The following is a 12,927-nucleotide window of genomic DNA, read 5'->3' as shown; positions in this document are numbered from 1 at the left end:
GCCCCATTATTTCCAATGTTTGCTTTGGGGAAAATATTTTGACCATAGACAAGTCAAAACAGAATGACCTAAAACCCCATCAAATTCTAATTATTTATTTTGTATGTATTTATTTTTTTGAGATGGAGTCTCGCTCTGTCACCAGGCTGGTGTGCACTGGTGCAATCTCAGCTCACTGCAACCTCTGCCTCCCGGGTTCAAGCGATTCTCCTGCCTCAGCCTCCCGAGCAGCTGGGACTACAGGCATGTGCCACCACATCTGGCTAATTTTTTGTAGTTTTAGTAGAGATGGGGTTTCACCATATTAGCCAGGATGGCCTCTATCTCCTGACCTCATGATCCGCCCACCTTGGCCTCCCAAAGTGCTGGGATTATAGGCATGAGCCACCGCGCTCGGCCCAACCCCATCAAATTCTAACAGTCTAGAAGATAGGAGCTTTTTGCATTAACTAACTACTTTTTTTTTTTTTTTTTGAGACAGAGCCTTGCTCTGTTGCTCGGGCTGGAGTGCAGTGGTGCAGTCTTGGCTCACTGCAACCTTCACCTCCCAGGTTCAAGCCATTCTCCTGCCTCAGCCTCCCGAGTAGCTGGGATTACAGGCATGCGCCAACATGCCCAACTAATTTTTGTATTTTTAGTAGAGATGGGGTTTCACCATGTTGGCCAGTCTGGTCTCGAACTCCTGACATCAAGTGATCCACCTCCTAAGCCTGCCTCAGCCTCCCAAAGTGCTGGGATTACAGGCATGAGCCACTGCGCCCGGTCAACTAACTCTTTATTTTTCCTCACTACTCATGTTTTCATTCCCTGCTCTGCATATCACTTTTGTTCCTTTAATACTGACAGCATCTATATATTAATTCTAACAGAAATATCTATTTCCTATTCAAGAGATAGTCCATTATTTCAACAAATGTTCCCCAGTTCTGTTGATATTCTAACTTTCATTCAAAGATTGAGAATGTTTACCTCACAGCTGCTGTCATTATAACAGTACCACTTGCAGTTTGGGTTTTTGGCATAAGTGATGTAATGGCCCCCACTCAGAATTCCTGAATGGCACTGTAAGAGATAAGAGAGTGGAGGTATGTTAGTAGTTAACTGTACTATGGCCAGGGTATAGCACTAAGATCTGAGCAGGAGAACACTGATCATGTAAATGATCAATAGGTGAGAAAATATTTTAGAACCCTCTTTCTCTAAAACCAAAATAAGCAAAAAGCAAAATACAAAAGTCATAAGCTCCAAGTCTTGTGTGGATAAACAATCATTTTATAATTGTAATTACTATTATTATTATTATTATTTTGAGACAGGGGCTTGCTCTATCACCCAGGCTGGGGTGCAGTCGAGTGATCACAACTCTCTAAAGACTTGACCTTCTGGGCTCAGGTGATCCTTCTGCCTCAGCCTTTCAAGTAGCTGGGACCACAGGCACATGCCACCATACCTCGCTCCATTTTAAAATTATTTGTAGAGACGGGGCCCAAGCAGCTGGTCTCAAACTCCTGGGCTCAAGCGATCCTCCTGTCTCAGCCTTCTAAAGTGCTGGGATTACAGGTGTGAGCCACCACACCACATCTGTGAGCCCAGATTTCAATGTTAACTTTGTCTATCACTAAGCTCAATGCTAGGAAATTAGCAGGACCTGAAAAATACTTGCTGATGAATACATGAAGACAAGTGAACAAAACACAGACCACTCTCTGAAAACCGTATAATAAACCACTTACTGAAATTGCATATAGATTATAAATAGGCTTAATATGAGTGTCTTCTCTTTGGTCATCAGTGCTGTCTTCTTCACTGTGGTTTCCAAGCTGACCATTGCTGTAGCCATCGCCACAGCCATTGCCACATGCTTCATGCTCATAAAGGAATCCATTGGCCAAAGCTACCTCATGGTCCTGAGGAGTGACCAGCTCTGGTTGGCTGCCCCCCCGCATATGCCCTCGGCTCAAGGCGTCAGCCAGCTCACAGATCTGCCCAGCCCCATTCTCTTTGCTGGCATCCAAGTTCTTCTTACTACTTGACGGCTTATTTTTGCTGCCAATCTGGGGCAGCCGGAGCCTCCCTTTGCTCCTCCCCAAAGTCCGTGGGCTGCTATTAGGGCTGCTGTTTTTGCTGGAGGGACAGCTGGTTCCACTTTTTCTTGATGAAGAAGGAGAACCTGTGAACAGGACAGAAGAAAAGATTCACAAATCCAAATGCCAGAAAGTAAGCCAGCCCCAAATGCTAACTCCGAGGTTAGCTTTGCAACTGTACACACAAAGGTAAAGACAGGGGAGTCATGACTGGCTACCCTTTGGTTCCTATTGTGTAGCCAGTAAGTTACATTTTTGTCTTCTTCAATGCCAAGTCCCTATAAGCAACAATGTCCTGAAAATGTAAAGTGCATTATAGGGACTCAGAAAACAGCAGAAAGATGATTATGATTTATGATGATTCAGTTGAAAAAAATCCAACTATTAGAGTAAGGAGTTTTCCAAATACATATTCCTCTCCTTTGTAAAATTAGACAAAAAATGTGACCACCATTTACTGAGTACTTCCTATTGTTAGGCATGGTACTGGGAATTTCCTGCTGTCCGTTGTTACCTCTGTGTCTCACAAAAATCCTGCAAGGCTTTAAACCTTTTAGTTATAGCCTCTTACCCCTACCCCCTTTTATACCTTTAAAAATTATTGAGAACCTTTAGAACTTTTATGTGAATTTTATCTATCAATATTTCCTGTATTAGAAATTAAAACTGAGGAATGAAAAAGTACAATACATTAGCACAGACTTCACTGTCAAAGTGACGATATTATTCCATGTCATGTTTTCTCTTACACCATTGTACATCTGTGAGAGAAAAAAAGTGAAAAAGCACATATTTTCTCAGTATTTTTATGAAAATCATTTTGGGCCAGGCACAGTGGCTCACACCTGTAATCCCAGCACTTTAGGAGGCCGAAGCAGGAGGTTCACTTGGGTGCAGGAGTTCGAGCCCAGCCTGGGAAACATGGCGAAGCACCATCTCTACAAAAAATACAAAAATTAGCCAGGTGCAGTGGTGCATGCCTGTAGTCCCAGCTACTCAGGAAGCTGAGGTGGGAGGATTGATTGACCCCAGGAGGTCCAGGCTGCAGTGAGCTGTGATCTGTGTTGCACCACTGCACTCCAGCCTGGGTGACAGAGTGAGACCCTGTCTCAAAAAAACAAAAAATAAAATAAATAAATAAAAAAGGAGTTTTGATCCTCTAGACCCCCTGAAAGATGGGGAACCTCAGAACTTTCACTATAAGGGGACAAGACAGCAGCTACCATTCCTGTTTACCATACATCAGGCACTGTGTGAAGTGCTTTACTCTCCATGTGTCAAACTCTCAACTCTGTAAACCTGGCATTATCTCCATTTTACAGATGAGGAAATAGATTCAGGGAGGCTGAATCTCTTGCTACAACTTACATAGCTCAAATACAGATAGGTCTGATTCCAGATAGGTTCCTTCCACCCAACCAACCTGATGTTCCAGAACAGAAGACAGAGAAACATATGTAGCCTACAGGAGTCCCAAGAAAGCAACTGCATAAGGCCCCCAGGCCTCACCTTTTGGGCTGCTGCTGATGTTAGCGCTGAGTGAGGATGGGCTTTTGCTTAGGAGCATGTCCTCTTTTCCAGCCGAACTCTGCGCATCCACTTTCTTCACCTCTCTTGCCAGAATCCTGGGCTTGGAGAGCTCATCCCCCTGGGGTGTGAGTGGTTTATGCTGGCAGAGGGCCGGGTCTCGTGGTACCAAAAAAGCACTCGGATCAAAACTTTCCCGAAGAAATCTGACAATTTTCTGTGATTTTATCCACTGATCATTTACAAATTGAAATCGCTTAAGGTGAATAATCTGGAGAAGTAAAGGTAGAAAACATCGCATTAAAGGGTTCTGAAGATACAAAATTTACATGGAAAAAACAAGTCAAATACATGTGAATGTTTGGAAATATATAACAGAACATTTACTCTTCATTATTTTTTAAAGACTTCAAAAATATGGTTTCATAAAGGCCTCTACACAGGCCCTAGTGCACTGGCGTCCTTGTGCACACGCGCTCAACTCAGCAGTGTGGCCACAGCCACGTGACTATGTGCAGTGGGTATTGCCCCCGGGCTCAGTTGCTCTTCTAGAGTCCACAAAGGGCTAGCCTAAGCTTCCTCTCTCCACAGAGCCAGAAGTTCACCCTCTCCTGAAGTTCACATTCACCACGTTGTACCCCTTGTGGCAGTTCTCACATCGCACTGAATTGCAGTTACTGGGCTACATGATTGATCTCTTCTTCTAGGTTATGAGCTTTTTAGGAAAAGGAACTACCAAATATTTGTAGAAAGATTCATCTCTGTATTCAACATAAAAACCTTGTACAGAATGTGTTTTAAACACTGCTGCAGGAAAAGTCTTATTCTCAAAAATAACAAAACCTCCTGTTTGTTCATGTCTTCTTTCTTTTATGCTAGATTCCTGCTCTCTCAGAGGCAGGACCGTAACATACCAGGAAGGGTGGAAGCCTCCAGAGATCCAGCTTCTTTGTTGCTAAGCAGTGGGTCTTACACTTGGAACAGTAGTACATCTCACTTTCCCCTAGCTCTTCCTCACTGGTGAAAGCACGGAGACAGCTGTCCAGGTTGATGGGCTCGGCTTGCGCTCGCCGACTCTGCTCCACACTCTCATGCTTATCTACAACCTGTAGGTAGAGGGAACAGGAGGAAAGGGGTGTGTGGGAAGGCATTTAAACTGGTGATCTAGCTATGCATCAACCGCTCGGTCACTCACCCTTATTTTACTCTTTATAAGGAAAAAGAAAATACAACTGGCTGGGTATGATGGCTCAGGCCTGTAATCCTAGCACTTTAGGAGGCCGAGGTGGGGGGAATCGCTTGAGTCCAGGAGTTCAAAACCAGCCTGGCCAACAGAGTGAGACCCTGTCTCAGTAAAAGAAAAATCTAAAAATTAGCTGGGCATTGTGGCGCATGTCTGTAGTCCCAGCTACTCAGGAGGATTGCTTGAGTCTGGGAGGTAGAGGTTGCAGTGAGCTGTGATTACGCCACTGCACTCCAGCCCGGATGACAGAGAGAGACCTTGTCTCAAAAAAAGGGAAAAGAAAACACAACCCAAACTAGAGTCCGAGCAAATACAACACCTACACATTTATTCACAAATGTTACATCAGTAACATTCTGGATAAAATTTCTGTTTATATGACCATAACTTTTCTTGAAAGATTTTTGAATGCTTCAAAATGACAAAAACAAAAAGAATTGAATTTATTTAACAACTTTGGAATCCTATAAGGGGTTACATGTGAGCTGGCCCTCAAGCCAGGGGTGCTGATAGTAAGCCATTTATTTTTAATCAGAAAGCCAGAGCATTATTAGTATGCTGCAGAGTTTACGAGGCTAGGAGAAATAACATGAAACACAGAAACCAGAGCTGGATGAAATGAGGGCACAGAAAAGCTCACCATGAGAAGACAACACAGCAGAGCATGAAACACCACAGGGTACAACTCATTTGCATCTGATCCCATGTAACACAGAGTTATCAGAATACCAAGTCTATAATTATCTGTCTCCTCCCTCATGGGGCCTTTTTATCTGAGATGGCAACAAAAGGAAGAACAAGCTCAAGAGTGTGCTGCTTTTGTTGAGAAGGCCTCTAATACCCACCCAAACCTTTGGGGTCCTGTTAATCAGCATGTTAGGCTGTGGAGCAAGAAGGAGTCAAGTGTAAGAAAGGAGAGAGAGCAAAGAATGGGCGGGGTGCAGGGATGTATGTTGGGGGTGGTGTAGAATGAAGAAGGAGAGAAGGAAGGATCTAGAATGCAGCAGAAGAGAAAGAATTTTTCCCTCTCCATGCCTGGCTGCTACCTGACAAACAATCAAGAACCATAGAGCTGGGATCCTTCTGTTTGTCCCTCTAATGTATGGGAAGGTGGGTGAAGCATCAGGGTTATGAATGCTACCGTTAAGACTTCACACAGTATATATTTGTGTCCCAAAGCACAGCCCGGACCACAAGGCCCACACTGACTGCCTCTCTGTGGCAAATGTCACATATGTCCATCACCCACCCTATTTATTGCTCCTCCCTTCCAGAGGTGAACTTCCTCCATGAATTTCCCTTCCTGAAACTCATGATGGGAACCTTAGGCTGCCTGGAATACAAATTGGCACAGCTCAAGACATTCAGCTTAGCATGGGTTTTCAGGCGAGACTTTTTCCCTACATGAGAGTCACGAGGCTGTCAAATGCTGTTATAAACTAGCAAGGTTGGGTTTGATCATGCAGTTACGGTTCTAGCACTGCATAACTACCCAGGCTAAAGAGCTCATTTAAAAAGGGGAACTTAGAGGAAAATTCTTTTTTTAGAAAAGGAAATCTGGCTTGGACTTGGGTTATAGACTTCTTTTTTGAGTACAAATTCTGTAGTAACAAGATATTAACTGTCATCATCTTTTGAACTGGTCACTCAAGGAAAAAACACGTGCTTCAAAAGGAAACGTGCTGTATCATCGTTGTTGGAATGAGTAGAAAAAGGGGTGTATCATATACGATAGTGTTTCCTTTCTCATGGCCAGTTAAACATTATCTCTATTATCTCTACCAGGAATACTTTATGGCCAACCACAAATGAGAGTAAGCTAGTAAAGAATGTTGAATTTTATTGACCATATTTTCTGGGGAACACAGGCTACAGTGCTAGAGGAAGACAGGGAGGAAAGATGGCTGATAAACAACATATTTGTGGACTGTACTGACAGTAATTTCTATTTATCAGTAAAAGTTCCCAAAGTGATAAAGATTCCCTTTACCTCTTGGGATCTATGCTTAGATCCTCTACTACTGTTTAAATAGTCTATAAATTACCTATAGGAACCCTCTTCTTTTTCAGAGTTGCTTTAAAGCTCATCTTTAACACAAAACACAGGAAATGAAGTAATAGTTTTCATATAAGACTATTAAAGAGAGAGGCCTAAGAATTTGTCTAGTTTAATTTTTTTTTCTTTTTTGTTTTTGTTTTGTTTTGTTTTGTTTTGAGACAGGGTCTTGCTTTGTTACCCAGGCTGGAGTGCACTGGCGAGATCACAGCTCACTGCAGCCTTGATCTCTTGGGCTCAAGCAATCCTCCATCCTCAGCCTCCCAAGCAGCTGGGACTATAGGTGCACACCACCACACCTGGCTAATTTGTGCATTTTTTGTAAAGACAGGGTGACATCATATTGCCCAGGCTGGCATCTAGTTTCATTTTCTACTGAGGAATCTGAGGTCCAAACAGGAGAGAAATATAAAGGATAAGAGTGATTGCCCCTCTATTTTTTTCTGATTACTAGGTATAATATTCATGTGGAAATTTTGGAAAGCAGAGAAAAATGTAAAAAGGCAGGGAATCCTGTTATATTCTTAATACAAAGGCAACCCACTGTCAAAATATTGGCAGATTTTCTTCTGTCCTTTTTCCTAAATAGTATTTTTTTCAATATTGAAGGTATTATTTCCAGTATATGCAACTTTATGTCTTGTTTTTAAAACAATGTTCACATATCGTAAGCATGTTCCCATAAATGTTAGCAAAAACTCCTAGTAATCATTTTCAACAACTGCATTATATTTTATCCAATGAATACACCATGCTTTATTTAACCATTCCTCTAATGTGAGACAAATATAAGTTGTTAATAACTTTTTACTCTCCTAAAAAATGCTATGATGATATTTGCCTGCAAATTATGGAGTAATTACAGAGTATTCTCCCCTCAGATAAATTCCTAAAAGGGAAATCACTGGAATAAAAAATATAAAGCATATGGGCAATAATCCCAATTTAAACCACAGTATCTCTTTTGTCTACATGACTTTCTAAGCACATGCAGAAACCCTACATGTAGTGGAGCCCCGATTAGGCATATGGCCCCACTCCCTAGCAAGGCATCAACAGCCCTTCGTTTCCATGGTATCCTAAGTGCATCACTGAAAGTGGAAGTAGGGTAAGATTTAACAGGTCACGTAGGCCGTTTCCTATAAGCAGGATGTCCTAAAGAGCTTTTCCGATTGCACACTGGATTTGTTAAAAAGAGGAAGAGATTTATAGAGCCAAATAATTTATCATCATTGACAGTAATGTCAGAATAATGCCCTGTCAGATTTTGTGCTAACAAAGATTTATGAATCTATCAACTCGTAAAATTTTCCCTCCTTGCTAGTGAGCATGATCTAGAACATTAGTTTCTCTTCAGCTTTCTTTAGCTTTAGCCTAGTGATCTTTCATTTGACAAGTATCCACAAATTATACTTATTCCTGGCTAGAAAGGGCTCCCAGGAACCTCGGTGTGTGGGGCATATTTTGGGATCTAAATAGGAAACTAGGTCTAGAATTGGTAGTTTCCCCAGTCCTCCATAGCATAACAAGACAGAAAAGTCAGTTACCATTATTAACTTATCCAAAGGGAATGCTTTAAAAACTAGTAAAGGAAATTTCCAACTATCAAGAGCCATAAAAATGCAAAAACCACTACAATTCCTCATGTGACTTAAGGAACTCCTTTGACTCTGTTGCTTTTACCTCTCCATCAGATTCTTAATGTCTTTACCTTTCAAATAATATTTGGTTGATTAAAAACTGCCTGAGGCAAGCATTTTTAGGTATGGAATTAAAATTATTTCTGAAGCAACATTTTCAAAATTTAAAAATTGCTCTGGCCAGACAGCGACAATAGAAGAATGTGAAGTGTGAAGAGCGGCCATTGAGATGTGCTCTTAGGTACCCAAAATGGAAACATTTCAATCCTTTCTCTAACTGTTCTGATCACTCTGCCTATTAAAGGGAGCAGCTACAGCCCTGGGACACACTTGAACTAAGTAACTGTGGTTACCTGGTTACCAAATGCTGCAACTTCGATAATATTTAACAGAGAGATGCTTATTGATATGTCATGGCCAGACACAGTTTTGTTTCAAGATTCACTTATTAATATTTTTGAAATTTAATGCCTGCTATAGTTTGGATATGGTTTGTCTCCACCAAAATGCATGTTGAAATTTGATTCCCAATGTGGCGTTGTTAGGAGGTGGGGCCTAGTAGGAGGTGTTTCGGTCACAGGGGTGAAACTCTCATAAATGGTTGGTGCCATTCTTGCAGTAGTGAGTTCTCTTCTGAGAACTTAGTTTCCAAGAGAGCGGGCTGTTAGAAAGCGAGGATCTTCCTCCTGTTTGGTCCTCCCTCTTGCCTGTGTCTGTTCTCCTTTGCTCTTCTCTGCCATGTTATGATGCAGCACAGAAGTCTTTGCCAGAAGCCAGGACCATGTCCTTGAACTTCCCAGGCTGCCGAATAGTAGTAAGCTAAGTAAACCTCTTTTCTTTGTAAGTTACCAGCCTCACGTACTCTGTTATAGCAACACAAAATGGACAAAGACAATGCCCCAATACAATGAACTCCAGAAGCTGGAAAATGAAAAAGCTCAAGCAAACATGTCAATATATTAGGTGCCATAGAGGATGCCAATGAAGGTTTTTCTGGTTGTTTTTAAATTGTCAAACAGAAATGGCATAATAGTTACACTGGGGGAAATTTCCCATATAAAAACCACCATTTTACGGTGGCCCTAAATTCTTACCCTTTCCTGGGATGTTTGATAGCGAAGGTGAAGGGCTGTGGGGTGCCAATCCACAGCAATATAGGCATTTCCAATGAAAGCTCTGTCTTCCCCACAATCAATTTTACAGCCTCTGCAAAATCTAAAAAGGGGGGAAAGATCCACAGAGGAAGAAATAATTATGAAGGAATTTAAATTTTCTTAATAAAAAATATTCTCCCTTCCTACTTTTCTGCTTTCCTCTTGGGCCTCACAATTTGTCATGGGCTTCTAACTTCAGACTCTGATAAATGTAAGGATACTTATTAATAATTATTATCATTTCAGGGAATCATGCTTTTCACTTTTCAAGTCTTTATTTTTACAAAGTACTTGATAACCATCTGTTAATCACAGGAAGATGTGAACTTTATGGCAAATAAATGACATGGGAATTGGCTGTTTGAGATACTACAGCATGCAAGAAATTCCAAATTCAGTTATTTAATGCTCTGAGGTAGGACAATTTATCTGGTATAACACCTATCTCCTTGTTTGTAAAATGGCAGATTAAATAAATGCATATAAAAGTTTACAGAGGCTGGGCATGGTGTCTCATGCCTGTAATCCCAGCACTTTGGGAGGCTGAGGTGGGTGGATCACCTGAGGTCAGGAGTTCGAGACCAGTTTAACATGGCAAAACCCCATTCCTACTAAAAATGCAGAAATTAGCTGGGTACAGTGGTGTGCAACTGTAGTCCCAGCTACTCGGGAGGCTGAGGCAGGAGAATTGCTTGAACCTGGGAGGCAGAGGTTGCAGTGAGCCAAGATTGAGCCACTGCACCCCAGCCTGGGTGACACAGCGAGACTCCATCTCAAAACAAAACAAAACAAAAAAGGAGAGGTGAATTTATAGAGTAATAAATGTTTGTCACAAGTTATGAATTTGGTATGGACTGTAGTTTATAAAACCAGCTAAGTCTCAAAAGCAAAACTTATCTATTGACCTCAAAAGGAAGTGAAAAACTTTTTTTGAGACAGAGTTTCACTCTTGTTGCCCAGGCTGGAGTGCAATGGCGCAACCTTGGCTCACTGCAGTCTCCGCCTCCTGGGTTCAAGTGATTCTCCTGCCTCAGTCTCCCAAGGAGCTGGGATTACAGGCACACACCACCATGCCCCACTAATTTTTGTATTTTTAGTAGAGATGGGGTTTTACCAGGTTAGGCTGGTCTCAAACTCCTGATCTCAGGTGATCCACCCGCCTCGGCTTCTCAAAGTGATGGGATTACAGGCCTGAGCCATGGTGCCCAGCCACAGTTCTTAAGTTTCTCATTATTCACTATTTACTTCTCAAAATTGGAAATCTTAGGAAAATTGTATAATATCTAAAGCTGAAATTCTACTAAAGTAATTCTTTTGCAGGTCACTTTACCTATACTGTGGGCACCAAGCACAGGAGTTCCCATCTTTCTGCACAACTCGTAGAGTGAATGGATATTGATAGCCCATACAGTTATCACTGAAACAGAAGAGAACAAAAAGAGTGTAAGAAGCATTTCTGGTTCGAGGTCCAACTCCTTTTCATCTTCTCTTGAAGTAATCCTAGGAAGGGGCATTTGCCACAGCAGTATGCTCATGTTGACAGCTCAATGTTACTTACCCTAATCCATTAGCTGCAGCCCAGTACCAAATACACTCTGGCTTCCCATCCTCTATCTGGGCTTACAGAAGGGTAGACAGACTGCCAGATGTCTCTAAGGGAGTCCATGTGGCCCACGAAAATTTTACAAGGTAAGCTAATCATGAAATCAAATACCAATTATCCTTCATTCTATCAGAGGATTTAATTCACATTAAACTAAAATAATTAGATCTTTCCATGACAAGAACACTGACACATTGCAGAAAGCTGTATATTTAGAAGTCTTCTTTAATCAGAATTGCTGATGTGGTACATGCTAAGTACTGCCTTAACTACTCAGAGTTATAAGCTACATACCATTTTTGGAGTAACTTCTTTTTTTTATTATACTTTAAGCTTTAGGGTACATGTGCACAACATGCAGGTTAGTTACATATGTGTACATGTGCCATGTTGGTGTGCTGCACCCATCTCACACCAGTTAGAATGGTGATCATTAAAAAGTCAGGAAACAACAGGTGCTGGAGAGGATGTGGAGAAATAGGAACACTTTTACACTGTTGGTGGGACTGTAAACTAGCTCAACCATTGTGGAAGTCAGTGTGGCGATTCCTCAGGGATCTAGAACTAGAAATACCATTTGACCCAGCAATCCCATTACTGGGTATATACCCAAAGGATTATAAATCATGCTGCTAGAAAGACACATGCACACGTGTGTTTATTGCAGCACTATTCACAATAGCAAAGACTTGGAACCAAGCCAAATGTCCAACAACAACAGACTGGATTAAGAAAATGTGGCACATATACACCATGGAGTAACTTCTTTTAACTGCCAATGATTATGTCAAGATGGCCTTGTGAATTTTCCAACTTTTAAAAAAATTTACTCATCCTTGCCCTAACAAGGAGCAGTGCAACAATTTATACATATTATCGAAATATAAGCTGTATGTCTTAGATGTATATACAATTCCTACTTGTCAATTATAGTTCAATAAAGCTGGGGGTGGGGGAGAAGGAAGCAATGCAAGGAATATAACATAAGAGTGGCATACTTTACAGCTCATCTGGCAAATGATAGTGGTTATTACATGGGCTATTGAAGGTAATGAAACCATGATAAAGAGTCACTGTAAGGGCAAAAGTGAGAATCACATCTGGCATAAGAGTTCCCATCTTTCTGCATAACTCATCCAGTGAATGATCACTGATAGCCTGTACTGTCTAGTACCATGTCCAACTCAGGCCAGCAATAAGTGAGGAATCAAAAGAAAGATAATGGGATAAAACAATCAAGTAGCACTCTCATAGAAAGCTGTGCAACACTTCTCTTCTAAAAATTTCTTTTACCTTTTTGCTCTAACTGAACGAAGCCTGGCTTTCTTGAGAATCCTGCTCCCCCTGCAGACTTTTTCCATTTTTTTTTTTTTTTTTTGAGACGGGGTATCACTCTGTTGCCCAGGCTGGAGTGCAGTAGCATGATTATGGCTCATAGCAGCCTCCACCTTTCTGGGCTCAGGTGATCCTCCCACATCAGCCTCCCAAGTAGCTAGGATTACAGGCATGCACCACCATACCTGGCTAATTTTTACATTTTTTGTAAAGACAGCATTTTGCCATGTTGTCCAGCCTGGTCTTGAACTCCTGGGCTCAAGTGATCCTCCTGCCTCAGCCTCC

At 41.6% G+C, this 12,927-nt stretch overlaps 1 protein-coding gene across 11 annotated transcripts in view, besides 1 other annotated feature; it reads right to left on the bottom strand.

Annotated features, from left to right (window-relative positions):
* USP6 (ubiquitin specific peptidase 6) overlaps positions 1-12,927 on the bottom strand; it is a 58,960-nt gene that overhangs the window by 2,343 nt on the left and 43,690 nt on the right. For 10 of the 11 annotated variants that reach the window (NM_001304284.2, XM_011524050.2, XM_047437018.1 and 7 more), the window contains 6 exons: positions 11,035-11,121; positions 9,645-9,765; positions 4,526-4,717; positions 3,594-3,882; positions 1,734-2,170; positions 970-1,062 (listed from right to left, as the gene is read on the bottom strand). In NM_001304284.2, the coding sequence (NP_001291213.1) occupies positions 970-1,062; positions 1,734-2,170; positions 3,594-3,882; positions 4,526-4,717; positions 9,645-9,765; positions 11,035-11,121 (1,219 nt within the window). Of the gene's footprint in view, positions 1-969; positions 1,063-1,733; positions 2,171-3,593; positions 3,883-4,525; positions 4,718-9,276; positions 9,352-9,644; positions 9,766-11,034; positions 11,122-12,927 lie in introns of those variants that run through there. The other variant, XM_011524058.3, reaches the window with a different exon arrangement.
* Positions 6,588-6,788: a silencer, noted in NCBI's record as "peak2704 fragment used in MPRA reporter construct". NCBI's record gives its function as "represses an SCP1 promoter by STARR-seq MPRAs in K562 erythroleukemia cells {active_cell/tissue: K562}" and the evidence as "EXISTENCE:reporter gene assay evidence [ECO:0000049][PMID:32103011]".

Source organism: Homo sapiens, chromosome 17 (assembly GCF_000001405.40).
Source record: "Homo sapiens chromosome 17, GRCh38.p14 Primary Assembly".
Classification (NCBI taxonomy): Eukaryota; Metazoa; Chordata; class Mammalia; order Primates; family Hominidae; genus Homo; species Homo sapiens.
The sequence above is the reverse complement of the archived record's forward strand: the minus strand, read 5'-3'. Positions and strand labels throughout refer to the sequence as shown.